This window comes from Homo sapiens, chromosome 11 (assembly GCF_000001405.40).
Source record: "Homo sapiens chromosome 11, GRCh38.p14 Primary Assembly".
In the NCBI taxonomy this organism is placed as follows: domain Eukaryota; kingdom Metazoa; phylum Chordata; class Mammalia; order Primates; family Hominidae; genus Homo; species Homo sapiens.
In genome coordinates this window covers 117,803,186-117,829,852 of record NC_000011.10, presented here as the reverse complement: position 1 = coordinate 117,829,852, position 26,667 = coordinate 117,803,186, and the positions used below count along the sequence as shown (strand labels likewise).

The following is a 26,667-nucleotide window of genomic DNA, read 5'->3' as shown; positions in this document are numbered from 1 at the left end:
GAGCAGGAGAGGGAGCAACTTTTAAAGGGAGGGGTTGGGATGGGATGGCTTTGGTGTCCTTTCTGGTTGGACCATCAATCACACCGGGCTCTGAGATAGAGATGCCTTCCTTCACAACACTGGTGGCGGGCAGGGAACAGAGTGTGTATACTGGCGGTGTGGGTGGGGGGGATTTGGCTGAGAGCTCCACTTTTCTGGACCACTTAGAATATGTTTGGACCAGGTACCTCTAAGTCTCACCCAGTCCCGAGGTTTGTAAACTTCTCTAACCCCAGCTTGGGGAATTTCCACTCAGCCGCTCTGGGCTGAGTGGGCAGGTTTCCACTTGGGAGCATGGGACAGGCCCGCCTGCCAGCCGAGCTGTTATCCACCCCAGGACAGGTCTGGCCCTGCCTCCAGGGTGGTCTGGAGGGAAAGGTGCAGAGAGCCTGGAGTCAGGGCTGTGCTCAGGGGCCCCAGCGCCGATCTCAGCCCATCCTGATAACAAATAGCACCTCTTAGACCTCCTGGTCTCTATTTCAGCCCTGAGAGGGCTCCCTGGGACGTCATGAGTCCTCCCCTCAGGACAGGGAGTGTTGCAAAGGAGGGACAGAGAGGCGGGAGTCAGAGTGACCAGAGCCCGGGTCAGAGGCTGGGGCCAGAGCCAGCCCCTCCTAACTCTGCTTCTCAGTGTCCACGTTGGGGTGGCCGTGCCAGGGCGGCTACAGGAACCTGACGGAGACCCTGTGGTCCCAAGTCAGCCACACAGAGACTGCTCACTGTGGCTTTGCTGTGGGCAAGGCCTTGGTGGCCGAGGAACAGAGACTGCCTGGGCAGTGTAGTGGGCTGCCCTGCATGGTAGGACACCCTGCCTAGTGGCCTGCCCCGCCTGGTGGGGCTCCCTGTGGCTCCCTGCTGGCTTCTGGCTCTGACCATGCCCTGGGCCTAGCAGTGTTGTCTTCTGGCCATTCCCCTCTGATACCAACCAGCAGCCCCCAGAGGACTCATTAGGCTGCTGGTGTCTCCAGCTGAGCCCTCTGAGGTGTGGCAGGCAGGCCTGACATCACAGCCTGGGTGAGTCACTGTGGGCTGGGTGAGTCACTGCGGGCTGAGTGAGGGGTCCCAGCTGAGGAAAGGGCAGGCCACAGGAGCGGCCCCCATCACAGCTCCGGCTCCCAGCCCCGCAGCTGCTCCCCATCTCTCTGCCAACTGCCAGAACGACACAGGAAGCTGGGGCCGGTGCCTCAGGTGCCACGACAGGGTCCTGGAAACCATTCCCACCCCTCTGAGAGGCTGCAGCTGTGCCTCCCAGTCTCAGGGGATGCCTAGCTACAGACCGGGGTCTTGGGCAGGATACCTCCGGCCAACGGCCCAGCTGGACTGGAGGGCAGAGGTGCAGCGGAGTAAAGCTCAGGGGACCCACACATGCCCCTAAAGGTCTCCCTCACATGCCACCAGCCCAGGGGCCTGGGGAAGAGTGGGCTCCTTGATTCCTCCCGGCTCCTGTACCCTTTTCGGGCACCCTGGGCTGGCTGCAGTGTGGAGCCCCTCGAGGGAGAGGGCCAGGGCGGGGGCTGTGGTTGGCTCTGCTGCATCTGACAGCTTGCCCATCCTCAAGTGCCAGGTGGAGGTCAGAAAATCTCCCCTGGCTTTCACGTGCATCCCTTGCCCCAACCCGCCCCAGCAAGTGGGCACGAGGTAAGGGCTCCTTTGCCAGCCCCTCCTCCCTCCCTGTGTCTCTTCCTGTTTGTGGGCTCACCTGAAGTGTGAAGAGGGGGAGTGCCACTCTCCATCCAGGCCCCAGGCAAGCAGCACCTCCCTGCTCTCCTGCACTCCTGGACACAACCAGCAGCTCCTGCCATGGACAGGTGGTACCTGGGTGAGTCCTCTGAGCCCCATTCCTCCTCCCTGCTCAGGCTCTAACACAGGTGCCAGCCCCGTCCCTTTCAAGTGCACCCACAAGCTCCCCAGAAGTGCAGGAAAAGCAGAAAGGAAGAGAGGCAGAATTTCCAAAAAAGAGCATCTCCATACGGAGTCACTGGCCTGCTGTAACGTGTGTGCAGAGCATATCTGAGCTGCGAGGGCTGGGAAGGCAGCTGTCCAACTGCCTCATTTACTTGTCTGTCCATCCGTCCCTTAGAGATGCAGGAACTCAGAAGCCAGGCTGCTGGCTTGAAATCTTGGTTCCCCTACCCTCTGGCCATCTGACCTCTGGCAAGTTATTTAACTTATCTGGGCCTCAGTTTCTTCCTCTATGAAATGGGGTGATAATAATGCCTTCTTTACCTTCTAAAACTCATTGTGATGACTAAAGAATTAATTTCTGGCCAGGCATGGTGGCTCACGCCTGTAATTCCAGCACTTTGGGAGGCCAAGGCGGGCGGATTATCTGAGGTCAGGAGTTCGAGACCAGCCTGACCAACATGGTGAAACCCCGTCTCTACTAAAAATACAAAACTAGCCAGGCTTGGTGGCACATGCCTTTAATCCCAGCTACTCAGGAGGCTGAGACAGGAGAGTCACTTGAACCCGGGAGGCGGAGGTTGCAGTGAGTCGAGATCGCACCATTGCACTCCAGCCTGGGTGACAAGAGCGAAACTCCGTCTTAAAAAAAAGAATTAATTTCTGTAAAGTGCTTGAAACGGTGCCTTGCACACAGAGTTTAAAAATGTAGCCATCAACTAGCTTTCCCTATTGCTTCCTATTCATCTATCTATTGATCGATCTATCATCCATATCTATCTATCTATCTATCTATCTATCTATCTATCTATCTATCTATCTATCTCTCTATTTATCTATCTATCCATCCATCTGTTGGTGCCTCCCCATGCACCTCCTCCCCCCCGCAGTGGGAGCCCTTCCATCCACACTGCAGCTTTGTTTGTGACCAGGGTAAATATTACCTGGCACTGTTAATGTTTAATGCCCCCACCTCATCCCCAGCCACCCCACCAAGGAGCAAAGACAGCAGGAAGAGGCAAGTGGAGACAGTCCATTTGGGTGGGGAAATGACTGGGTTGTCAATGGATAGATAGATAGATAGACAGATAGATAGATAGATAGATAGATAGATAGATAGATAGATAGATAGACAGACAGACAGACAGACAGACAGATGAATTTATTTAACTTCCCACTTATTTTTACATCTCTTATTATTCCCGAAAGACTCCATGGAGGCTTACAAATACAGACCAAATGCAATAAGATAACACAATCCTGTATAATAAAGGGAGCACCCTTGTCTTGTGTGGAGATGGCAGTAGCTTTGGTAGCACATCTTGGAGGATCTGGGCTTTCTACCTCCAGTTTGCCATTAACTGTGTGTTTCAGGCAAGTCCCTTCACCTTCCTGCCCTCGTTTTTTCTGGTGTACCCAGTGCCCTGGCCACGTCCAGGGGCTATTGTGGAAAGCAAATGAGCAGCCTCAAGTTTCTTTATCTGTAAAACGCCATTAGTAGGAATTAAGTGATGCAGTGCATTCCAAGAGCCTGGCACGTGGTCCATCTTCACCAAACGCTGGCTCTGCTGTGATGTTTGCACGAATATATATTTCTTGGCTCCAGAAGCAGAAGGGAGCTGAACGGGTATTGCAGCGCCTGATCTGCAGGGCCATGCCATTCTCTCCGTCTCACTCATTCGTGCCCATTTTCATTGGAGGGTGGCTGGCTTTTCCATGTCCAACAGCAAACATTTGCCAAAGGCTAATGCTTGTCATTTCTTCAATCAACACACATATAACAGTAAAAATGATGCCACTCACCGTGTGCCAGGCCCTGGGATATGCTCTTTGCATGCATTATCTCACTTCCCCTCACCACCACCCTAGGAGCTGGGTACTGCGCCCATTTTACAGATGAGGAGACTGAGGCACAGAGAGGTGAAGTCATTGACTGAGACCACACCATTAGCAAGTGAGAGGGCCAGGGTGTGAACTCAAGTGCCAAGCCCTGCCCCTGCTTGGGGAGGATTCATGGATACAGTGGCTCCCTTCAGAAGGGCTCAAGCTCCCCTGCTGTCCGCTGGCCACTGACCTTGGCTGTTTTGTGGCCATTGGGCTTCAGCCTTTTCTGGAGGCCAATTCAATGGACTAGAACTCAACGAGGATTCTACAGTACCTGTGACTACCCGGCACAGGAGTCCTGGGGCGAAGGAGGTCACAGCGGAGTGGGGAGGCTGCCTGCGAGGTGTGGAAAGCATCTGCCTCCTGCAGCAGGAGGCCTGATTGTCAGTCTCCACTTCCCCCACACTGGCTGTGTGACCCTGGGCAAGGCCCCTACCTCTCTGTGCCTTAGACACCTGCCTCATCAGTAAAATGGGAAACATAAAGCTTGAGGAGAAAAAACAGTGAGGAAAGTGCTTGGTAAACCATAAACGCAGGGGGTTTTCCCCACGATGAAAGTCTTGCCCTGTCCTTAAGGATCCTGCATGCTCCATGGTAAACTGGCAAGGACACAATCCGAGAGCCAGGCCAAATGGTGGTAGGAGGAAGTGCCAGGGCGGCAGGGAAGGAGAAATTAGTTGGGGATGACTGAAGCCCTTCTGAATGAGGTGTAACCTGCAGGGTGCACGTTGATGGGTGAATAGGATGACAGATGAAGGGCCCTTCTGGAGGATCTACTGCTGGTCAGCTTTGGCGGTGCTCCAGGGATGTGGTGGGGGAGCAGTGGGCCAGGCTCCTAGGGACCACTGCAGGAAAGCCTCCAGTACCACATAAGGAACACCAGCTGCAGCGGCGGCATCCATGGTGGCTGGTGCGGTGGGCCCTGCCTGGGCTGGGGGCCACTGTGGGCCACTGCCCCCAGAAACTCCCAAGTACAGTGTACACTGAAGAGATTGTGCAACTTCCACTTTCCTGTTCCCACCGCCCCAGCTGTAGCTTCCCCAGCTGGCAGAACAGCACGACTGCTGACCCATCCCAACCCTTCTCTTTGGAAATTTCCTTTGGGAAGGTTTGGAAACTCAGCCAGCTCCTCCCTGCCCCTGCCTCCCCACGCACGTCCTCACCCTGCAGAAGGAGCCCCTCCATCCACACTGCAGCTTTTCTTGTGACCAGGGTAAATATTACCTGGCACTGTTAATGTTTAATGCCCGCACCTCGTCCCCGGCCACCCCGTGGAGGCAGCCAGACACTCTCCAAAAAGCAGAGACAGCAGGAAGAGGGGAGTGGAGGCAGCCCATTCACCTGGGGAAATGACTGGGTTGTCGATGGACGGTGGTGAGTGTGCTGGTGTGCGTGCCCGGGCGTGTGCAATGCTGGGTGGCTCTGATTGGCCTGCCTTTGTGGGGTCAGCTGGACCCTACTCTTCCCTCTCCTGCCACCTCAGCCTTCCAGAGTACCCAGCCCCTCTTCCTGTCGGCCTCCTCTCTAAGAAAATTTGCAACTTAAAGGAGGACCCTGCTTTAACCCCAAAGAAAGATAGCTTGAGTGGCAGAAAGGCAGCAGATAGAAGCTGGAGAGCTGAGCGTTCCTCCTCGGCCTCCTGGCACACACCCGCCCTGAGTTCAATGCATCTTGCTAGACCGTCTGAACTTGGGCGGGAGGCAGACGGCGTCCATCTGGCTGGGGAAGGAGCAGGCCCCTCTGGTCAGCCTTCCTAGGCTGGATTTGGGGTGAGAGCCCGCCAAGTTCAAGTCACACTCTCCAAAGGCTTCCTGTCACAGGAACTGACTCAGGCCTGGAAACCAAGAGGGGCACTTGCTGACAGAGGTGGGTTTTGAGCCAGATGCAGAAAGGGGAGGGTGCTGGGCAGGGAGGGTCTCAGCAAGCGGCTCAGGGCCAGGTGGCCACGGAGGAGGAGGTTTCCTGGGGCGTGTGGGGAAGCCTCAGCTGGCGTCTAGCTGTTGCTCTGACACTTAAATCCCCATATGACCTTAAACAAGGCCTGAACCAAATCTGGGAAGACAGCCCTGACGGCCTTCTGTGTGGGACCTGGGTCCTTCATGGCCTCCCTGAGCACCCAGCACCTCAGGCCCGTCAGGATGGGCACTGACTCTTCCTGGCCTGTCCTTTCCTGGCCCAGGGACTGGCCGCTGGGGACAGCTGGGCTTGACAGACCCTAAGTCTCACTGCTGCTCAGGGGCACAGTTTGGCACAGCCCGGAAAGTGCTAACTTGCGCGTTCCTTCCTCCTCGGGCTCCACTTCCCTCGTGCGAGAAGGGGCTCCGGCAGGGCAGGAAAGAGTAGCGGCCCTTAGCTGTGGCAGAAGCGTCCTGGCCAGGCCACCGTCTGGCTGTCCGGGGCAAGTGTACTCAGTTGCAGGGCACCACTGTGAGACCTGCCTGCTGAGCGGCTCCAAATCCGGGGGAGGCCACCAGAGGCAGGGGCAGGACCTTACCTCTAACGGGCTCCTTCCCTCCCGCCATTGAGAGGTGGCAGATCAAAGGGCTTATGCACCTCCATTCTCAGCCCCCTGCTTCCTGGGTTCAAACACCAGCTCTACCCCTGACTTGCTGTATAACTGTGGGGGAATTTCTTCTCTGCACTTCCACCCTCTTGTGGATTACACCAGAATGACATTGACGCCTCATAAGGTTGCCATAATGGTTAGATGAGTTAGGGTTTGTTAGTTTTTGCCCGGTGCCTGACCAGCACTATATATTAATGTTTCTTAACTAGATCTGCTTCCCCTGAGGATGGTAACGCAGGAAAGGAGGTCTGTCTCAGCTTTCATTAGGACTTTGAACAAGTCTACACATTGGGCTCGGCTTCCTCCTTCTGTCTGATAAACTTTAAGGTTCTGTTTTATTTATTCATGCATTTCCCAAATAGCTGCTAAGCACCTGATAGCCAAATGGTCCTGTGGAGAGAGGCCGCTGGGAGTCTAATGGGAGAGGCTTCTCCTGGCCTTTTCTACCATGGTAGGAATCAAGGAGCAGGAGAGAGCCACCCTTCCGGAGTGGTCAGAGGCCCCCCAGACAGCACGGATCCCCCTCGGACACTCGGTATTTGGTCCCCAGTTGAGCGTGTCTGAAGCCGCCTGGAGCAGAAGCCTGCTGGCAATGGTTTTAGCAACACCCCTGCTCCCAGCCTCCCCTCGCCTGCTTGGACCCTCGAGGGTCCTCTGGGAAGGGAAGGACAGGGAATTCCAGCTGTTCCTGTGGCTGGCTCACCATCGGTGACTCCTCTCATCCCACCTCTGGCTCTCTCCTAGGCGGCAGCCCCAAGGGGGACGTGGACCCGTTCTACTATGGTAAGCCTGGGCCCCTGCGCACCCTTCCTGAGCCCTCAGGACCCCTTCCACCAAGCAGCGGCCTCTCCCAGCCCCAGGTCCATGCTCTGTGCCCCTTATCTCCCCTGGTTACCACGGGCTGCTGCGGGCAGGCTGCGGAGAGAGACAGCTGCTGGGAGAGACCACCCATCCCGCTCCTCTTGCCCTCTCTTTCCGGAGACTATGAGACCGTTCGCAATGGGGGCCTGATCTTCGCTGGACTGGCCTTCATCGTGGGGCTCCTCATCCTCCTCAGTAAGTGGGGTGGCCTCCAGGGAAGGGGTGCTGACCAGGGCACCTCTCTTCTCAAGGCCGCTGAGCAGGCTGGCTTTCGGGAGTTGCCAAGGGAGGGGTGAGCCTCCCCACCACGCCCCCCACTGCAGGATGTGGGAATGGGTGCCCGGTGGGGTGCCAGGCTCGCTGGGAGCACAGTGTGAGGTTCCTGCTTGCTCAAGTGCACCCTCCAGTGGGCCCGGGAGGAGCCGCAGAAGTGAGAGCAAACCCACGGGGTAACTGGGTAACCGGAGGGCCAGACAGGGGGACTAGGCCCCCCGCTGCTAACCATGGTCCCAAACTCATTTGTTAAATAGGGATGATCCCACCTGCCTCACAAGATTAGGGCTAGCATCCAAAGACATGGCAGTCAGGACAGCGCTCTGAGAACGGTCCAGTGCAGACTCGGAGTGTTCTGGGGGAGACAAAGAGAGTTATGTATCCTCAAGCCCCGAGGGGCACACAGCAGGAGCTTAATAACTGCACATTGACTTGTTTTGGTCCAACCCAAAGAAAAATACACAGAAAACACAACCCATGGAAAGAAGATACAGCAAGCACACCTGTGGGCTCTGGACTTCTAATGCACGTGTGCCACTGCCACCCCACCCCAAGGCTCGGGCCACAGTCCTGCGGGTCTCCCCATTTTCCCGTGTTGCCCATGGCAGCTCTCTCTACGTGTGCCACTGCCAGCCCACCCCAAGGCTCGGGCCACAGTCCTGCAGGTCTCCCCATTTTCACATGTTGCCCGTGGCAGCTCCCGGAGGGCAGTGCCGGGTGGCAGCTGATCACATAGGCACAGGAGGCAGGTGGCCTAAGCAAGGGGCTCCACTTTGGAGTTGCTGCCATCCTTCTCCAGGTGTTCATCGGGCAGCTGTGCTGGGGGCACCATGATGGCCCAGTCTCTGCTGCTACTCTCGATATGCCAACAGACCACCGTGGATCTGCTCCAGTAAATATTTGCTGACTGACTGACTGACTTAGGTTCTTAAATGCCTATGGTCCAGCCTTATATAAAGAGAGAGAAGGCTGGGCGTGGTGGCTCATGCCTGTAATGCCGGCATATTAGGAGGCCAAGGCAGGAGGATCTCTTGAGACCAGGAGTTTAAGACCAGCCTGGTCAATACAGTGAGACCCGATCTATACAAAAAAAAATTTTTTTAATTAGCTGGGCATGGTGACATGTACCTATAGTCCCAGCTACTTGGGAGGCTGAGGCAGGAGGATTACTTGAGCCCAGGAGTTTGAGGCTGCAGTGAGCTACGATCCCACCACTGCACTCCAGCCTGGGTGACAGAGTAAGACCCCGTCTCAAAAAATAAAATAAAATAAAATATAAAATAAAATAGAGACAGTCAAACGTGGCCTCCAAGCCTGACCCTGCGATGATACTGGCAGGAGGGAGGTAGGAGAGACTGGAAGAATTTTGAGTCTTCCAGGGTCTCCTTGGAAAATTAGTCCATGGAAACAAATCTCCTTTTCTCTTTTCAAGGCAGAAGATTCCGCTGTGGGGGCAATAAGAAGCGCAGGTGAGCGCTGCCTGGGGTGACCGATGAGGGGGTTGGGGCTGGAGAAGGAGGGGCGGGCTGAGGATTTTGTCTCTGACACAGTGGAGGATCCCCAGCCTCAGAGATCCCTAGACCCACCCCTCCCCCTGCCCTCTCACCTGTTGCTTTTCCTTCCCCCACCAGGCAAATCAATGAAGATGAGCCGTAACAGCAGGTATGCTAGGAGGGCCTGGGGAAGGTGCGGGGAGGGCAGGGCAGGCTTGGGAGCAACAGGGAAGAATTCTGGCTCCTGGACTCGGTAAATAAGAATTTTAGGGTCGTCCACACATCAGCCAGGTGGTCTGTCACCCATCGTGTGTTTAAAATGATGGCCAAGGGCCTGGCGTGGAGTGTGTGCCGCAGGAGATCACAGAGGAGCCCTGGAGAAAAGTGAGATGGACAAGGGGGAAGTAAAACCCCAACCTCTGCTGCCTCCCACCCAACCCCATCCTGCCTTTGTCTTCTCAGCCTCGGCGGTGCCACCCACTGCACTGGGGCCAGCTGGGAAGCCAAGCATGGCCCTGCCTCTGGCGCCTCCCCTTCTTCCCTGGGCTTTAGACCTTTGTCCCCGTCACTGCCAGCGCTTGGGCTGAAGGAAGCTCCAGACTCAATGTGACCCCCAGGTGGCATCGCCAACTCCTGCCTCGTGCCACCTCATGCTTATAATAAAGCCGGCGTCAGAGACCGCTGCTTCCCTCACCTGCCTGCCTGTCTCCCTCCTCTGTCACCACCAGCCTCTCCAAGCTCAAGTACAAATACAGCCGGGTCTCATTTGTTTTTTCAATTAATTGCTCAGGCACCTGTCTGCCTGTAAAAGCAAGAAGTTCAGTGTTGTCATCTGTAGGCCACTCCTCACACCCCTTGAACTGGCAGAAGCCCTGGGGACAGAGGCCTCAGCCTGGCTTTTATACACCTGGGAAGTCTGAAAGGCCCAGAGGTCAAAACCACAGCCCATTGGATACCCATGAGGCCTCTGCCCCAGGCACCACTGTTGGGTTCCTGGAAGCGACCCTGCTTAGCAGTTGCTGTGGAGAGGCCCCAGGCTACCAAGATGGGCCTCTGTGTGGTCACATTCCTGTGCTCTGCCGTTTTCCATATGTACCCCCCTGGGCCAAGGTGGGTGGGTCCGGGGAGCCTGGTGCTGGGCCTCTGCACATGTCCTGAAGGAGCCAGCCCTCTTCCCAGCCCCCTCCTGGTACTAAGCTCGGGCCACCTCTTTCCACTCTTGGGGCCACCTATTTGGAGGGTTGGTTAATTCCAGGGCCTGGGGCCAGGGAACAGATGGTGAGAGTGAGACCACTGTCACACTTGCTCCAGCCCCCGTCCATGCAGGCAGGGACCCACCCAGGGCAGCCTCAGCCTGAGATGCTTCCAGGTCGCTCCACCTAGTGCGGACTCCTAATGTGCCCGACTCCTAATGCCCATGCCCCCTTTGCTGTGAGTCCAAGGCCATGGCCATGCAGGGAGGCCTCTGGGACCTTCTGCACTCAGGAAGGAGCCCAACTTTCCTCTCCCTCCCTTCACTCAGAGGCCTCGAAGGCTGGAGGGATTGTGGGATTCTGGCACCACCTAGCGTCTGGCTTCCTCATCTGGGCCTGCAAGCTTTTGAGGGAGGAGAGGGGAGAACTGGCAGGAGAACCAAGCTACAGGACCAGGAAATGAACAGGGTGTGTTTGGGGGCCAGAGGCAGGATAGACCTCACTCCACTTGGGAATTAAGCTCTTTGTCTTAATCCACTGCCCCCAGTCCCTGATAACCACCAACTCTCCTAGAAACACAGAAGGCTTGAGCAGGGAAGGGTCCTTAGAGAGCAAAACAGACCGTCTTCAATTTACAGAAGGGGAAACCGAGGCTCTAAGAGAGGCCGTGGCTTATCCAGAGTGACATGGCCAGCCTGAGTCGGAGCCAGAGGTAAACTGCAGGTCTCTGGCTCCCCTTCCAGAGCTCTTCCCACCACACGAACATCCAAAGGACGGGAAGCGGTTGGTGGGGCAGGGAGGTGGACTACCCACTGACTGCCTGTGGGTTTGGAGAGTGAAGGGGAAACAGAGAAGGCCTGGGGTTGTGGGGAGAAACTCCAGAGGAGACCAGGAGCCAGGCAGGGGAAGGCCAGGTGACTTACAACTCAGCACCAAGTCCTTGTGACACCCCACTCCAAATGTGGACTCATTGGTGTAGGCCAAACCCTTAAATGGAATTCAGTTTTCTTTGCAGGAGATAGAGGCACACACTTGAGCTCTCCCTCGAGGGTGGGAGAAATGAACTTGAATGGGGCAGGTCTAGCCAGGGGGGCTTTCAGGAGGAGGGAGGCTCCCAAAGCCTCTTGGATGCAGCAGCAAGGCAAACAGGAAGAGGGGGTATTCAGACCTGTGGCCCACCCCAGGAGAAGTAAGAGCACTGGAGAAGAATCACGTTTCTAGAATGTTCTAGAATGTTCCATACAGAGGACAATCCAGCCTGCCACCCTCAGAGGGAAATTCCACCTGCTCTGGATGAGTCACTTCCCTTCGCTGACCCTGCCTCAAGGCCTCCCTCCTTGTGAAATGTGAGGCTTTATCAGGTCTGAACCTGAGGGGCTTTTCAAACCACCACGTACCCAGATTTCCCCAGCCCGGTTGAATATGAGGTTTGGGGGGTGGCCTCTGCAGGCGGAGGCTTAACGAGCCCCATGGCCCCAGGTGGTGTTCAGAGGCCTGGGACCTGCTTCCTAACCAGGACTCTTGTGAACATTTCCCTTCTCTCTCCAGAAAGGTCACATGGGCTGGCAGTTACTGAACTTTCACTTCACTTTGGGATTTTCCACAATTCAGACCTGCATTGAGTCACAAAGATCTACCAAGCCTAGGAAATTATTGGGTGAATTACTCTTAATCAGACAACTCCGACCATGACAGTCTTCGTCTGAGGCCGCAATTCCCTTTCTGACCACCAGAGGGAGCACGTGGCTTGCGCCGAATCCCCTCCAGCTGTGTGTTTTCAACTCAATCTTTCCAAGGGCCTTTGCCGGGAGGAGGGGCTCCTGGCTCCTGAATGGTCCGCCCGGTGCCGTGATTTCCTAGGAAAGCCCTCAGCTCTTCTCATTCCGCTTGTTCACCCCCCAGGTACAGCACTTGCCCCACTCTGGGGTAATTCTTGGCTGTGGGGTCTTAAGTGCTCATTCCTTCCCAGAGGCAGAGACCCCACGTGATCTACACATCTTCCCCAACTCCTGGGGAACGGCGACGCCTCTAACCCTGTAGTCTGAGTAAATCAACAACAGCAGGACATGGGGAGGGGCAGAGAAGTCAAGCAGGGACGTTTGTAGGGTGGGAGGGGAAAGAGGCTTTGCCTCAGTAGCTCTTCTCAACCCCAGCTGCCGTGAGTCTGATTCAACTGATGGGGCATCGGTGGTTGTTCAGCCTCCCCAGGTGAACTCGAAGTGGAGCAAAAGGTGACAGTCACAGCTTAGTAGGTGAGCATGTCCAGGTGAGGGTGAGGGGAACGCAGCCAGGCGGAGCAGGTGAGGGCCCAAGGGAAACTGGACTTGTTTCACCATCTGGGGAGAGGGCAGGTAGCTCTGCCCTGCCAGCCCCTGGGAGAGCACTTCCAGAGCCCCCAGGCCCAGAAGTGCTGGCCTTGGGCAATGGGGTTGCAGGGTCTCTGCTAAGTCCGCTGAGTCCTGGCCTTCCTCACAGCACCCATGAACAGGAAGAGCTGGGTAGGAAGCCCAGGGAGGGCCAGGAGAATTAGCCTGTGAGCCAGCAGCCAGTCCCACACCTATCCCTTGCTAAAGGGTCCACCATCCAAACCCATCCAGCCTCTGAGCAGCTCCAGAGAAAGAGCCCTGTGGGCATGGGGGCAGGAGGGCTTCTGCTGGGTTCTGGCAGGCACTTCCTGGCTGGGTGGCCTGGACTTCCCCATCAGAGGAAGAAGAGCCTCAGACAGGCCGATCGCTAGCTCCTACAGGCTGATCTCCTGTCCAGGGTGAGGGTGCCCCTGGCATGGGCCTCCAGTTTTTCTAAATGCTTTGGGGCATCAGGAGAAATCTCCACCCCACCCCCCCAGCAATTCCGAACTCTCTCTCTTGTACAGGGAGCAAGGAAGGGGTGCCCCCAAAGAACTGAGCGTCTCCACTGGCGCTGCGTCTAGTGAAGGAAGTGGGCTCCCTGGACAGACGGGTGGGAGTGGAGGGCGTGAGGGGTGTTGTGCTGAAGAAAGGCCCAGGGCAGGGGGTGGTGTAGCGTCTCCTCCCAGACTCTCCAGGCTTCCACCCTCCCTCCGCTCTGCTCGGCAGGGCTGCTGTGGGGGAGATTAGTCGCCTCCCTGTTGATCCATGGCCCCAGGCAGCTGAGCTCTGAACTGCAATTCATCAGGGGCCTCTGGGGCGGGTAATCTGTGCCTCACCAAGCGCCCATTCTTCATTCCTAGCAGGCTGCCTGACAAATGCCTGGCCAGCGGAGATCAGAGGCAAATGCCACGGCAGCTCGGCCCTGTTGTCAGAGCGAGTCACTGGCTGGGAAGATGGATTGGGCCTGGGCCTCGGAGCCAGGGCCACAGCGGCCTCCTTCCGGGACATTGGGAGGGCAGTGCTGAGCCCAGGGCTGCACTGGGAGAGCCACGGAAGGGCCCGAGTGTCCTAGCCTTGGAAGAAAGCCTGGGCCCAGACTCAGTGCCCCCTCCCAGTTTTGGCTGCAGGAGGAGCCTCACAGGCTGGGGACACTTCATAGTTTGCCGTTGAGTGACTGAGGACTTGGGAAGAAATCCTGTTTAGAACTTCAAACGTTCATTCCCAGAGCTTCAACCTGACACTGGAGGGGCAAAGAAGGTGGCATTGGGAGATTGGGGGAGGGTCTCCCCCAGGTGTGGAGGGACCTCATGCCTAGAAGGGACTGGGACGAGCTATGTTCAGGAGTGGCAGCTCCCCAACCCGTTTTGGCAGATTTCATTTTCAGTTTGTAGGCAGTGGGGCCTCAGATGTGAAGGCAAGCTCAGAATTTAGGGAGACTTAGGGTCCCCTGGCAGGGCGGGAGACCAGGGCAGAGCACCTGCCAGGGGACCCTGAGTCTCCCTGAATTCTGAGCTTCCCTTCACAGGGTGCAGGTGACACCAGGTCAGGAACAGTCCTGGAACAGTGGAGGCCCAGCCTGGCCTGTCCTGCTCCTATGGGCTTGCTGGGCTACCTGCTGTCACCCTGAGTGACACCCCGAAGTTCCTCAGCCCCAGGAGGCCGCCAGTCACCGCGGCTGCTACTGTCTCTAGATGTCTAAACTTGGTTCCCTTTTCAAGAAATGCTCACTGTCACTTCCCCAAAGGGCTTCTTTGGTGTCACTGAGAGGAATTCCCCCTGGTGAGCAGGGCAGCAGGGAGGGGAGAAGAGGGCAATGTTCTGAGCTGGGGAAGCAATTTGTGGCCCCGGAAGCCCTGCCTGCAGCTCAGTGCAGACCACACCGTGGAAGGTGGAAAATTGGTTTCACTGCCAGCTCTGCCCTTGGCTTGCTGTGTGACCTTGGGAAGGCCCTGGTCTGTCTCTGGACTTGGCTTTGGAAAAAACAGACACAAGACAAAAGTCCCAAGCTTCAGCTCACACGTCAAGGAGCTGTGACTTTTCAGGGGAAGGGGTAAGGGGAGAGCTGTGGCTGACCCCCTTGTTCCCTCCCGCCCCTTGGATAGCTGTTCTTAGAGAAAAGCTGGATACACCCCCACAGCCCCTGCAAATACACACTTGGCTTCCTCCCGGCAGTGAACACAGAGGCGCCCAGCAAGTGATGAAGGCAGACAAAAAGACACACTTGACAAAGCAAAGGAGATGAGGCTGGCTTGGCCCCGAGCCAGGAGCATGCTGAATTCTCTTGTGGTCTTTGTTTCCTGAATGGCCTATCAATCAGTAACCGAGTGCGTGCCAAACCCAGCCCACACGGGAACCCGGTGTCCTCGGCTCTCCAGTAAATACTACTTCAGGTCTCATGTCCGAGGACCATATGCTCCCAACACAGCTAATAAAATCATCCAGGAGTAGCCTGGAGGCCGCAGACACCCGCCCCAGGGGGCAGGAGGGGGACGAGCCAGGCTGGGCCTCCGCTGTTCAAGAGTGTTCCTGACCTGCTCTCTCTAGCACCCTGGGCACCTGCCAGGGGACCCTGAATCCCCTGAATTCTGAGCTTTGCCTTCACATCTGAGGCCCCACTGCTTATAAGCTACATGAGGGAGGGATTGCATCTGAAAGTTCACCCACCGATCCCAGTGCCTCACCCCCCTTTGGGCACTTAGTGCACCCTCCATACATGTTTACTGAGTGCACACGTGACTGGTTGAGTAGAGGAATGAATGAGTGATTGATTACCAACCAGGTGGACCACCCCTGTCCCTGCTCCATGCCTCCAGGAGCAAGGAAGTTGTGGGGTCAGGGTAGGCAGCTGGGGTGGTCAGAGGTGTGCGTGATCCCTTCTTCCTTGGCCTCACAGCTAAGGTCACAGGCTTTGGAATCAGCAGACCTGGATTTGAGCCCTGGCTTAGCCAATTATGAACTAAGTTTCATGCGCATCCGTGTGAAGAGAACCACCAAACAGGCTTTGTGTGAGCAACATGGCTGTTTATTTCACCTGGGTGCAGGCGGGCTGAGTCCAAAAAGAGAGTCAGCGAAGGGAGATAGGGGTGGGGCCGTTTTATAGGATTTGGGAAGATAATGGAAAATTACAGTCAAAGGGGGTTGTTCTCTGGTGGGCAGGGAAGGGGGGTCACAAGGTGCTCAGTGGGGGAGCTTCTGAGCCAGGAGAAGGAAATTCACAGGGTTAATCACTCAGTTAAGGTGGGGCAGAAACAAATCACAATGGTGGAATGTCATCAGTTAAGGCGGGGCAGGGCCTTTTCACTTCTTTTGTGATTCTTCAGTTACTTCAAGCCATCTGGGCGTATAGGTGCAAGTCACAGGGGATGCGATGGCTTGGCTTGGGCTCAGAGGCCTGACATTCCTGCCTTCATATATTAATAAGAAAAATAAAACAAAATAGTGTTGAAGTGTTGGGGCGGTGAAAATTTTGGGGGAGTGGTATGGAGACAGAATGGACGATGTTTCTCCGGGCTGCTTCAAGCGGGATTAGGGGTGGCGTGGGAACCTAGAGTGGGAGAGATTAAGCTGAAGGGAGGTCTTGTGGTAAGGGGTGATATTGTGGGGTTGTTAGAAGAAACATTTGTCATGTAGAATGATTGGTGATGGCCTGGATACGGTTTTGTATGAATTGAAAAACTAAATGGAATAAGAGAAGGAGAAAAACAGGTATAAAAGGTCTAAGAATTGGGAGGACCTAGGACATTTAATTAGAGAGTGCCTATGGAGATTCAGCATAGTCCTGCCAGCAAAGATTATTTATTTACTTCAAGAGTTAAGAGTGGCAATTTGGAGATAGCACGAGGAGATATCAGCTGTGATGGCTTGGAGAAACAGTATAAACCGGCAGTGTAAACAAGAGCAGGGCATGTATGAGTAGTTGAGAACGGTGAATAGGAGTATGACTAGACAGAAGATAGTAGGGATGACAAGTTTTTTGGGGCACAGTCGAAGTTGGTCTGGTGTCTGGAATGAGACTGGGGCCTAATAAAAAGGAGCATCTATACAGGAGGTTAAATGGGCTGTACCTTGTAGCATTCTGAGGACATGTCTGACTTCTGAGAAGGGAAAGTGGTAAAAGTATTGTCCAGTCCTTTTTAAGTTGGTGGCTGAGCTTGGTGAGGTGTGTTTTTAATAGACCATTAGTCTGTCACTGAATACTAAGAGCCTGAAAAAATGCTTGGCTGATTTGACTAATAAAGGCTGGTCTGTTATCAGACTGTATAGAGGTGGGAAGGCTAAACTGAGGAATTATGTCTGACAGAAGGGAAGAAATGACTGTGGTGGCCTTCTCAGACCTTGTAGGAAAGGCCTCTAAAAGTATTAAAGCAGTGGCAGCCGCTGCACGCAGACATGAGGGCTAGGCTAAAACAGTAAGGTCAAGTTGTTTGCACAGAAAGGCTACAGTGTGCGGTCCTGGCTCTTGTGTAAGAATTTTGACTGCACTAACCATGCCTAGGAAGGAAAGGAGTTGTTGTTTTGTAAAGGATTGAGGTTTGGGAGATTAGTCGGACACGATCAGCAGGAAGAGCACGTGTGTTTTTACGAGAATTATGCCGAGATAGGTAACAGATGAGGATGAAATTTGGGCTTGACTGAAGTAATGGGGGCTGTCTGTGAAGCCTTGTGGCAGTACAGCCCAGGTAATTTGCTGAGCCTGATGGGTGTCAGGGTCAGTCCAAGTGAAGCGAAGAGAGGCTGGGATGACGGGTGCAAAGGAATAGTAAAGAAAGCACGTTTGAGATCCAGAACAGAATAATGGATTGTGGAGGGAGGTATTGCGGATAGGAGAGTATATGGGTTTGGCACCATGGGGTGGATAGGCAAAACAATTTGGTTGATAAGGCATAGATCCTGAACTAACTTGTAAGGCTTGTCTGGTTTTAGGACAGGTAAAATGGGGGAATTGTAAGGAGAGTTTATAGGCTTTAAAAGGCCATGCTGTAGCAGGCGAGTGATAACAGGCATTAATCCTTTCAAAGCTTGCTGTGGGATGGGATATTGGCATTGAGTGGGGTAAGGGTGATTAGGTTTTAATGAGATGGTAAGGGGTGCATGATTGGTCGCCAAGGAGGGAGTAGAGGTCTCTTGTGGGTTAAGGTGGGGGAATACAAGAGGAGGACGCAAAGGAGGCTTTGGATTGGGAAGAAGGGCAGCAATGAGATGCAGCTGTAATCCAGGAATAGTCAGGGAAGCAGATAATTTGGTTAAAATATCTCGGCCTAATAAGGGAACTGGGCAGGTGGAGATAACTAAAAAAGAGTGCATAAAAGAGTGTTGTCTAAGTTGGCACCAGAGTTGGGGAGTTTTAAGAGGTTTAGAAGTCTGGCTGTCAATACGCACAGCAGTTATGGAGGCAAGGGAAACAGGCCTTTGAAAAGAAGGTAATGTGGAGTGGGTAGCCTCCGTATTGATTAAGAAGGGGATGGACTTACACTCCACTGTGAGAGTTACTTAAAGCTCGGCATCCGCGATGGTCTACGGGGCTTCCAAGGCAATCAGGCAGCCTCAGTCTTCAGCTGCTAAGCCGAGAAGGAGTCAGTCAGGGAGCCTTGGGCCAGAGTTCCAGGGGCTCTGGGAGTGGCTGCCAGGTGAGTTGAACAGTCCGATTTCCAGTGGGGTCCCGCGCAGATGGGACACGGCTTAGGAGGAATCCTGGGCTGCAGGCATTCCTTGGCCTGGTGTCCAGATTTCTAGCACTTGTAGTAAGCTCCTGGGGGAGGAGGTTCTGGAGGAACGCCTGGCCGCTGCAGTTCAGGCGTTTGGAAGTTCTTGTGTGCTGGAGATGTAGCTGGGGTTTGTCTCACAGTGGAGGTAAGGAATTGCAACTTTTTTTATTATTGTACACCTTGAAGGTGAGGTTAATTAAGTCCTGTTGTGGGGTTTGAGGGCCAGATTCTAATTTTTGGAGTTTTATTTAATGTCGGGAGCAGATTGGGTAATAAAATGTATATTGAGAATAAGATGGCCTTTTGACCTTTTAGGGTCTAGGGCTGTAAAGCTTCTCAGGGTTGCTGCCGAACGAGCCATGAACTCGGCTGGGGTTTTATATTTGATGAAAAAGAGCCTAAACGCTATCTGATTTGGGATAAAGAAAAAGGAGCATTAACCTTGACTATGCCTTTAGCTCCAGCCACCTTTTTAAGAGTAAATTGCTGGGCAGGTGGGGGAGGGCTAGTCACAGAACGAAACTGTAAGTCAGACCGGGTGTGAGGAGGAGAGGCGATAAAAAGATTACAGGGTGGAGGAGCGGAGGCTGAGGAAGAAATGGGACCTAGCTTGGTCTGGCGAGGAGGGGAGAGGTCAGATGGGTCTGTAGAAAAGGAAGATTAGAAAGACTCAGCGACGCTTGGGGTTGGGACTGAGGGGACAGGCGGGAGGGAAAGAAGGAAGATTTGGGACGAGTTGCACTGGGCACAGAGACTAGGAAGGGACTGATGTGTAAAAGAATGCGTGGACGTCAGGCACCTCAGATCATTTGCCCATTTTACGACAAGAATTATTTAGCTCTTGTAGGATGGAAAAATTGAAAGAGCTGTTTTCCGGCTATTTGGAACTACTGTCGAGTTTGTATTGGGGTCAAGCGGCATTGCAGAAGAAAATAAGACACTTTGATTTTAGGTCAGGTGAGAGTTGAAGAGGTTTTAAGTTCTTAAGGATACAGGCTAAGGGAGAAGAAGGAGGAATGGAAGGTGGAAGCTTGCCCATAGTGAAGGAGGCAAGCCTAGAGAAAAGAGTAGAGATACGGAGAAGGGGGTGGGGGTTTCTTGCCCTCCAGAAAAGCAGAGAAAGGGTTGGGGCACGGAAATAAGGGATTGGGGCACAGAGATAAGAGGTCGGGGTGCGGAAATAAGGGATTGGGACACAGAGATAAGAGGTCGGGGTGCGGAAATAAGGGATTGGGGGTTCTTGCCCCCTAGAAAAGCGGGACTTGCCACTAAGGGTGAAGGAGAAGGGGTTGAGGGGTACTTGCCCCTCCCCCAGAGGGCGCTGGAGTTTTGAGTCCACGGAGTTTTGGGTCCACGGAGTTTGGGTCCACGGAGTTTTGGGTCCACGTGTCTCCTTTGTCTCTATCAGAAAATGAAAGGAATTGAAATTAAGAGAAGGGAGAGATTGAAGTGTGGCGCCAAGATTGAAATGTGAATATGTATGTATGTGAATGTGTGTATGTGTGTGCGAATGTGTAAGTGAGTGTGTGAATGTGTGTGAGTGTGAATGTGTGTGAAAATATTTGAATATGTGTGAGTGTGGGAATGTGTGTATGTGAATGTGTGTATGAGTGTGTGTGAATGTGTGAGTGTGTGAATGTGTGTATGTGAATATGCGTGTGTGTGAATGTGTGAATGTGTGTGTGAGTGTGTGGGTGTGTGTGTGTAAGAGTATGTGAATGTGTAAGTGAGTGTGAGTGTGTATGTGACTGTGTGAGTTTGTGTGTGTTGTGCGTTGCTAGTTGAGCTGGAACTGGGGAGGAGCAGAGCAACCCAGGAGGGTTGCGTGGGTGGACCTAGCATCTGGAGCGCTGCGCGGCGATTCAGCCTCCTCAGCTGAGAATCAGAGGTCTGTTTTGGAGGACACCATTGGTCCCCTCCAGTAGTTCTTAGAGGCTGGCAAGGACACAGGCTGGGGCAGGGAGTGAGCCCAGCCTCCGGCTTCACTGCGAGACATGACTGGGGTGAAGGGCAGGACCTGTGTAGTGGAGAATTTGAGTGGCCGCCGTCTATGTTGTACTGCACAGCAGCCTGCGGCGCCACCATCCTGTCCTGTGGCACTAGGGGGAGGCAGACACCAGGTTCCCAGTGCGGAGGCCTGGAGCTTCCTTCCGCGGAGGACCGCAGAGACACATCCAGTAGTGGGCCAGGGAGGCGGGTTGTCCTCTCCAGCCATCAGAGCCACGCCCAAGGAGTCAGGCACAGCGGGGAGGAGGGCTCCCCTCCCTTCCCACAGCTCCCACCCTTCCCACACTGCACTTTCCAGGAGTGCAGACGCGGCAGCTGGCCTCCCAGGACCTGCCCCACCCTGGAGGTCTGCACTGAGCCCCTTCGCCAAATGAGGCAAGACTTCTCCTGAGCCTGGGGTCTCAGGGCAAACTCCTGAGGTCGCCTCTCCTAAATCTGAGGCATTCCCAACGGATCTGGAAGATTCATTCTCTCTGGATGGATTTTTCCTCCTCTCAAGCTTCGCAGTGGAAATGATATGAAGCAGGGGCGGGGCAGTGACGGAGCTGCTAGAGCAGGGTAGACAGGCGTGGGCGTGAGCTTGGCTCGGTCACTGACCACCTGGGCAGCCCTGGGGAAGTCCTTTAGTGTCTCGGAGCCTCAGTTTTCTCATCTGTGAGATGGGGTTTGTGATATCCAACTCATTAAAGAGATTGAACGAGATCATGTGTGTAAATGAGATATGTACGCCACAAAGTGCTGCGAACATGTAAAGTGGGTGAGGGATGAAGCAGTGTTCACCAAGGCTTCTGCTGGGCTGGGTGATTGCGTGTTTTTCAGCCATTTATTATTCAGCAAATTTTTGTTGACTATCAAGTATGTGCCAGACACTGTATTAGTGTTTTTGACAAGCTTAAGTGGATAGTGTTTATGAAACTACAGAACATAAACCTTCTAGTTTATCTTCTAGTTCAGGATTTCCCAAATGCCAGCCCCAAGACCTATGCTAAGCTTCTTACATCCAAATACTGGGAAACAGAAAATACAGATCCCGGATTCTGTAGTCTGGGATCTCTCTCTCCTTCACCTCACCTGTGCCTGTGTGCATGTGTAGTTGTGTGGTTTCGGAGCCACTGAGACCCAGAGATGGCAAATGCTCTCAGGGGATAGCATGTCGCATGCCAGGGGCTTCGGGCATGCGCCTATTATCTTTTCCAGAGGGGCAGGGACAGCCCAGCCATGGTCTCAGGACTCCTCCTAAAGGTTTGACCCATAGGAATGTGTCGGCAGATTGCCCAGAATATAGAGTCCGAAGGCCTTCTAATTCTATATTTTGTCACTTAATGGCTCTGTCATTTAGTGCCTGCATAATTTTTAGCAAGTCACTCTCTTTCTGAAGCCTCAATTTCCTCATCTGTAACATGCGGATATTGATGTCTGTCTTGCTGTGGTATCTTCATGTGAGCATACTTTGAAAACTGCAGGCCGGGCGCGGTAGCTCACGCCTGTAATCGCACCACTTTGGGAAGCCTAGGCGGGCGGATCACGAGGTCAGGAGTTCAGGACCAGCCTGGCCTACAAAGTGAAACCCCATCTCTACTAAAAATGCAAAAATTAGCTGGGTGTGGTGGCATGCACCTGTAGTCCCAGCTACTCGGGAGGCTGAGGTGGGAGAATCATTTGAACCCAGGAGGTGGAGGTTGCAGTGAGCCGAGACCACGCCTTTGCACTCTAGCCTGGGTGAAAACTGCAAAGCTCCAATTTTTAACTCCGACGAAAGCCAGAACCAGACTGAGTTTTCAAAGGAGAAACCCTTCAGGCTGAATTTTCTTCCACTTCTTCCAAGTCCAGCTGTATCTAATATTGAAAGATAATCTCCATGGAGGAGCCCCCATCCCGCCCAAAGGTTTCTCATACTCAGTCTTTGGGCGACACCTGCTGGCCATGGCAGGTACTGTGACCTTCTCTAGCTAAACAACTCTGCGGAGAAAACTTGCCCATCTCCTTAGACATTCACAGCCACGCTGCAGGGTCGGTGTTCTGTTCCCACTTCCACAGACCAAAAAGGTGAGACTTGGTCCTCCCAGCTCATGAGAAGTGCGGTGAATCTCTGACTCCAGGTTCTTGGCTCCATCTCATCCCTTCTTGCTCTTAGGCTGGGCGGAGTGGGGAGTCATTTCCTCCCAGGCAGAGGAGATCTCCCACCCCCCAAATCATTCTGAAGTAGGTACTGGGATTTGGGGCAAGGCCAGGGTTGGAGCCTAGGACAGGCCTGGTCAAGAAAGACTCATCCTTGTGTCAACAACCCCACCAGGCAGACCACCACATCCAGTTCCCCATCTGCAGAGCAACTAGACTGATGGCAGGGGCTTCAGCGATAAAAATTCACTCTGAGGAGGCAGAGAGATGCCATTTGGTCAGGCTGTGTGGTGAGGAGCTGGGGACAGGCTACCCGCTGAGCCTGTTGCCTCTGTGCCCACTGTGTGGGGAAGTGGCTAGCCTGAAATCTGGCGTGTGGCTTGGGGGAAGCGGGTGCCCCGGCCAAGGAACTTCTCAGTCAGGAGGCAAAAAGTATTGTGATTGAGAAAGAGGATTTGGCCTCATCCTTGAGAGATGCACACAAAATGATCAATGGATGAAATTATGTAACACAAGAAATTTGCTTCAGAAAAATTCATGGTGATGGGAGGGGAGCATAGATGAAACAAAAAACTGGCCATGAGTCAACTCTTGTAGCATCTGGGAAATGAGTGCATAATAATTCGTTATACTGTTCTCCCCACTTTTGTATATTCTTGAAATTTTCCATGTTCAAACTTTAAAAAATGTAACAGCAGTAACACTACCACCACCACCAAAGTCAATACATAGAATGATGAGTTTGAAATTAGACTGCCTTGAGCATCTGACGCTGCGTGAATTGGACAACTTAGTTAATTTCTCTATGTCTCAGTTTCACTGTCTGTAAAATGGGGATGATAATAATCATACCAGTCTTATAGGGTTGTTTGGAGATTATGCATCTGGAGTAATTAGCATAGTGCTGGGCCCACAGCAAGTGCTCAATTATAATCATTGTTATTAGTAGGAGTCCAGGACTCTGATTATGATTTGCCAAAAGAAGAAGCTACTTTGGCTGATGCAGACAAACAATTAGCCCGCCAGTTCAGCTCAGAGTTTGGACCGATGAGTCTTTGAGGACACAGCTCTGAACTGCCATGTGCCAGATGTGTGGGTGTCTCAGATGGGTAGACACACCATAGAGTCAGGCTTTCCTGAGCCCCTGCAGGGAGGCCTTTTCCCTGCCTCTCTGCATATCCTTCCCATTGCTCAAGCCCAACTCACATCCTACCTTGGTTTTTACTGACCACTCCTTTCTCTGAGCTTAAGCAGCTCTCTTCACAGACTTATCGAACCCCTTGCCCTAGGTGAGACTGTAAAGATCATCCAACCCAGCCACATCATCATAGCTTCATTCGACAAACAGTCATCAAAGACCTGCCTTGGGTACTGAGGATGGAGTGGTGAACAAGGTGGGCAAGAGTCTGAAGGCAACAGGGCCTAGGAGGGAGGTAAACACCACTTAGCTGAGCGCAGGCCAGGCGGTCAGGAGCCCTGGACCTAAGCCCTGACTCTGCCATGTGACCTGGGACGCCCTTCACCTGCCAGCCACTGTTTCCTAGGCACTTGCAGGAGATGCTCCCCAGGTCCCTTCACACTCTGACCTGCTGACTCTGAGCATGTAGGCTTCCCTGTGTTGCTCTTTAAACATCTTCTACTCCACTGGAATGCAAGCTTCCTGAGGGCAGGGACTCTGTGCTAGACTTTCCAGGGATCGGGGAACTCCTTGCACAGGGGCTGGGCACAGAGTTGCCAAAAGAATGAGTAAACCAACAAAATGTACTTCCTTTAGGCCAGGTGTGGACCAGAAACAGTGAAAGAACAGAGTTTTTAACCAGGAGAAGTGGGAAATGGATCCCCCAAAACCTCATACTGTAGCACTTGGAGATTGACAATGCCCACCAGCGTGTTAAAGCCTGCAGTAAAAAACAAAAACAAAAACAACTCCCACAAAAACCTATTTACCTTTGATTATTCCACTGTTTTCCAAACCTATTTGACCATAGATCAGTTTTTGCACCTTACCTATTACCTTCTCATGAAACACTTGTGAAATGCTATGTTAGATCTTTTTCTGTTTTCTGCTGGATTTATCAAAAATAAGGTCAAGTTTGGTAAAGATGCTGGGTTTCAATGTCATTGTGGCCTGAAATGGGAACCTTATTGCTGCATTCTTAGCTGAGCTCTGCCACCCTCACTGGGGCTGGGCTAGGACCTTAGATGACATTCTGAGTCACCCATTGTGTAAGTAAGTGCCATTTGACCCAGGCAACACCCCATTTCCCAACTTTCACCAAATGATGAATGGGATCATGTTTTCTCTCAAATAATCCACATCAGGATTACAGGCCAAGGAGGCCAGTTCAGTAGAAGTTCGTGGGATAGTGGTCCAGAGTGATTGGCATGTCAGCCCAGGAAATCCAACAAAACATTGGACAACAGTAAGAGAAGATCAGCTACCTACTGAGGGGGTGATGGCGCTGGACTGGAGCTGCTCAGACCTCATCCGGATTCATGAGTCTATTCTGTTTTAAGAGAGATTTTTTTTTTCTTTTATGAGACAGAGTCTGTCACCCAGTCTGGAGCACAGTGGTACAATCACAGCTCACTAACATCCTCAGCCTCCCAGGCTCAGAAGATCCTCCCACCTCAACCTCCCGAGTAGCTGGGACTACAGGCATGCACCACCGTGCCTGGCTACTTTTAAATGTTTTTGTAGAGATGGGTCTCCATGTGTTGTCCAGGCTGGTCTTGAATTCCTGGGCTCAAGTGACCCTCTCACCTCAGCCTCTCGAAGTGCTGGGATTACAGGCGTGAGCCACCATGCCCGGACGAGATATTGCTAAAGTTGAATATAAGCAAAGAGGGAAACCAGAATAGGGAAAGGTCTAGAAATTATGTCAGAAAAGAAAAAAGATACGTAGCCTGGCAAAAGGAAGGTGTGGGGGCCTGCGGTAGCAGTTCTTGAATATTTGAATAGCTGTCATTTTGTCCAGATTGGGCACATCTTTTGAACTCCAGAAAGCTAAGGCAGATTTGGGCTTGATAAAGAAAAGCATGTGTACATGACTGTGGACAGTGAAATTAGATAAACTTCTGTGTGGGGAGCAAGCCCCTTTTCCCTGGCAGCATTTGAGAGACTGAGTTGACACCTGTTGGGTCGGTGTAGAAAGCCAGTGGGTATGAGATGGGGCCAGGTGAGCTGAGCTCTAAGGCACTGCCCCCTCTCAGATTCTGTAACTGAGGGGCCAACATTCCCCGTGGTCTCCAGGCAATGTCTTTGTTCAGCCTCACTGTCCCAAATTGCAGCCCACTCACCACTGGGGCACCCCAGGAGCCGTGGCTTTGGCCTCCAGCAGGTGGAATTTCTGGGCCGCACATTTCTCCTGCTCAGAGTGGCTGGAGGACTTGCTAGTGTTTTGTAGCAACTCCTGGACTTTGAGGAGGGTCTCGGTCCACAATGCTGGTGGCCAGTCACAGTGACAGGAGGGATGCTGCCCTGCAGAGAGACCGTGGAAGGCGTTACGGCAGCACCAAGTTGTCTCCCATCCTGAGATCCTCCAGCGCATGGACTGGCAAGTCCAGCCTGTGGTGAAATGGGCAGACTTTCTAGGAAGAGAACTTTCATCATCTAAGTCAAGGTCACCACCATGGGCCTGGGCCTTGACTTTCTCTTCTCTGGGGAGGAAAATCTCTCCAAGGGGGCTTCTGTGTGAACAGCACTGTACAAATACATGATTGACATACAGACTTAAGACCTCTGAGGCAAGCGGGGAGCCCTGACCAGAATCCAGAGAACCTGGTCCCCAGCCACAGTGTAACCCAAGGAAAGTTCCTGGGACGGATTCAGGTTTTGCAGGGCTGGAAGCTTAGACCATTGAGGGCTGGAAGCTTAGGCCTCACTAAGGAAAACAATACACAATTATGAATACAAAATTAGATACAAATATGATCATTAATATATTAATAATCAAATGTGATTATTAATTTAGAAAGATAAAAAGAAATTGCAACAAGTTACAAATCTTGAAAAAACTGACAAATGCCATCATGAAATCCAGACAGATAACATAATATTTGTATTAACTGACACACCTCAAAAATGCTTTCTAAATTAAAAAAAATTTTTTTACGTTACTTCTGCTCACAGCTTTACATAAGCTGGCTTTTGGCTCCATGCATTTCAAACCTTGTCTTTCCTATGCTACACACACACCCCTGGTGCAGGCACCTGAGGCCACAGTTATACTGTGATACAACTTCTGGTTCTGCAACTTCATGTCACAAAGCGCAGTG

General features: G+C 53.1%; 3 protein-coding genes across 5 annotated transcripts in view, besides 9 other annotated features; all 3 read left to right on the top strand.

The window, feature by feature from the left end:
• The window catches only part of FXYD6-FXYD2 (FXYD6-FXYD2 readthrough), a 56,602-nt gene extending 46,806 nt beyond the window's left edge, over nt 1-9,796 (top strand). Inside the window, exons 7-11 of one of the 2 annotated variants that reach the window (NM_001204268.3) lie at nt 7,136-7,174; nt 7,373-7,447; nt 8,958-8,994; nt 9,157-9,187; nt 9,481-9,796. In NM_001204268.3, the coding sequence (NP_001191197.1) occupies nt 7,136-7,174; nt 7,373-7,447; nt 8,958-8,994; nt 9,157-9,181 (176 nt within the window). In that variant the 3' untranslated portion in view covers nt 9,182-9,187; nt 9,481-9,796. The remainder of the gene's footprint in view (nt 1-7,135; nt 7,175-7,372; nt 7,448-8,957; nt 8,995-9,156; nt 9,188-9,480) is intronic. The other variant, NM_001243598.4, reaches the window with a different exon arrangement.
• FXYD2 (FXYD domain containing ion transport regulator 2) lies at nt 1,764-9,796 on the top strand. Of its 2 annotated transcripts, none has more exons than NM_021603.4 (6): nt 1,764-1,858; nt 7,136-7,174; nt 7,373-7,447; nt 8,958-8,994; nt 9,157-9,187; nt 9,481-9,796. In NM_021603.4, the coding sequence occupies exons 1-5, from the start codon at nt 1,840-1,842 to the stop codon at nt 9,179-9,181; spliced, it is 195 nt and encodes a 64-aa protein (NP_067614.1). In that variant the 5' UTR covers nt 1,764-1,839; the 3' UTR covers nt 9,182-9,187; nt 9,481-9,796. The 2 variants fall into 2 exon arrangements, with proteins under 2 accessions (NP_067614.1, NP_001671.2); NM_001680.5 differs by lacking the exon at nt 1,764-1,858 and adding an exon at nt 5,109-5,199.
• Nucleotides 4,263-4,815: an enhancer, noted in NCBI's record as "H3K4me1 hESC enhancer chr11:117695753-117696305 (GRCh37/hg19 assembly coordinates)". NCBI's record gives its function as "activates a minimal SCP1, AML or CMV promoter by ChIP-STARR-seq in primed H9 embryonic stem cells {active_cell/tissue: H9 hESC(primed)}" and the evidence as "EXISTENCE:reporter gene assay evidence [ECO:0000049][PMID:30033119]".
• Nucleotides 4,816-5,369: an enhancer, noted in NCBI's record as "H3K4me1 hESC enhancer chr11:117695199-117695752 (GRCh37/hg19 assembly coordinates)". NCBI's record gives its function as "activates a minimal SCP1, AML or CMV promoter by ChIP-STARR-seq in primed H9 embryonic stem cells {active_cell/tissue: H9 hESC(primed)}" and the evidence as "EXISTENCE:reporter gene assay evidence [ECO:0000049][PMID:30033119]".
• Nucleotides 7,032-7,585: an enhancer, noted in NCBI's record as "H3K4me1 hESC enhancer chr11:117692983-117693536 (GRCh37/hg19 assembly coordinates)". NCBI's record gives its function as "activates a minimal SCP1, AML or CMV promoter by ChIP-STARR-seq in primed H9 embryonic stem cells {active_cell/tissue: H9 hESC(primed)}" and the evidence as "EXISTENCE:reporter gene assay evidence [ECO:0000049][PMID:30033119]".
• Nucleotides 9,267-10,001: an enhancer, noted in NCBI's record as "H3K4me1 hESC enhancer chr11:117690567-117691301 (GRCh37/hg19 assembly coordinates)". NCBI's record gives its function as "activates a minimal SCP1, AML or CMV promoter by ChIP-STARR-seq in naive H9 embryonic stem cells {active_cell/tissue: H9 hESC(naive)}" and the evidence as "EXISTENCE:reporter gene assay evidence [ECO:0000049][PMID:30033119]".
• Nucleotides 10,002-10,736: an enhancer, noted in NCBI's record as "H3K4me1 hESC enhancer chr11:117689832-117690566 (GRCh37/hg19 assembly coordinates)". NCBI's record gives its function as "activates a minimal SCP1, AML or CMV promoter by ChIP-STARR-seq in naive and primed H9 embryonic stem cells {active_cell/tissue: H9 hESC(naive and primed)}" and the evidence as "EXISTENCE:reporter gene assay evidence [ECO:0000049][PMID:30033119]".
• The window catches only part of DSCAML1 (DS cell adhesion molecule like 1), a 389,743-nt gene continuing 375,414 nt past the window's right edge, over nt 12,339-26,667 (top strand). Inside the window, exon 1 of the mRNA NM_001367905.1 lies at nt 12,339-12,463. The gene's annotated coding sequence lies outside the window, so the exon portion shown is untranslated. The remainder of the gene's footprint in view (nt 12,464-26,667) is intronic.
• Nucleotides 14,597-14,676: an enhancer, noted in NCBI's record as "active region_5575". NCBI's record gives its function as "activates an Ori minimal core promoter by ATAC-STARR-seq in GM12878 lymphoblastoid cells {active_cell/tissue: GM12878}" and the evidence as "EXISTENCE:reporter gene assay evidence [ECO:0000049][PMID:35858748]".
• Nucleotides 15,466-16,043: an enhancer, noted in NCBI's record as "H3K27ac-H3K4me1 hESC enhancer chr11:117684525-117685102 (GRCh37/hg19 assembly coordinates)". NCBI's record gives its function as "activates a minimal SCP1, AML or CMV promoter by ChIP-STARR-seq in naive H9 embryonic stem cells {active_cell/tissue: H9 hESC(naive)}" and the evidence as "EXISTENCE:reporter gene assay evidence [ECO:0000049][PMID:30033119]".
• Nucleotides 20,278-20,327: an enhancer, noted in NCBI's record as "active region_5574". NCBI's record gives its function as "activates an Ori minimal core promoter by ATAC-STARR-seq in GM12878 lymphoblastoid cells {active_cell/tissue: GM12878}" and the evidence as "EXISTENCE:reporter gene assay evidence [ECO:0000049][PMID:35858748]".
• Nucleotides 20,378-20,447: an enhancer, noted in NCBI's record as "active region_5573". NCBI's record gives its function as "activates an Ori minimal core promoter by ATAC-STARR-seq in GM12878 lymphoblastoid cells {active_cell/tissue: GM12878}" and the evidence as "EXISTENCE:reporter gene assay evidence [ECO:0000049][PMID:35858748]".

Coding starts and splice junctions, on each gene's coding strand:
- FXYD2 (NM_001680.5), top strand. CDS start 5,175: ATGACTGGGTTGTCGATGGACGGTG. Junction 7,448..8,957: donor GGGGCTCCTCATCCTCCTCA/GTAAGTGGGGTG, acceptor TCTCTTTTCAAG/GCAGAAGATTCCGCTGTGGG. Junction 8,995..9,156: donor GGGGGCAATAAGAAGCGCAG/GTGAGCGCTGCC, acceptor TTCCCCCACCAG/GCAAATCAATGAAGATGAGC.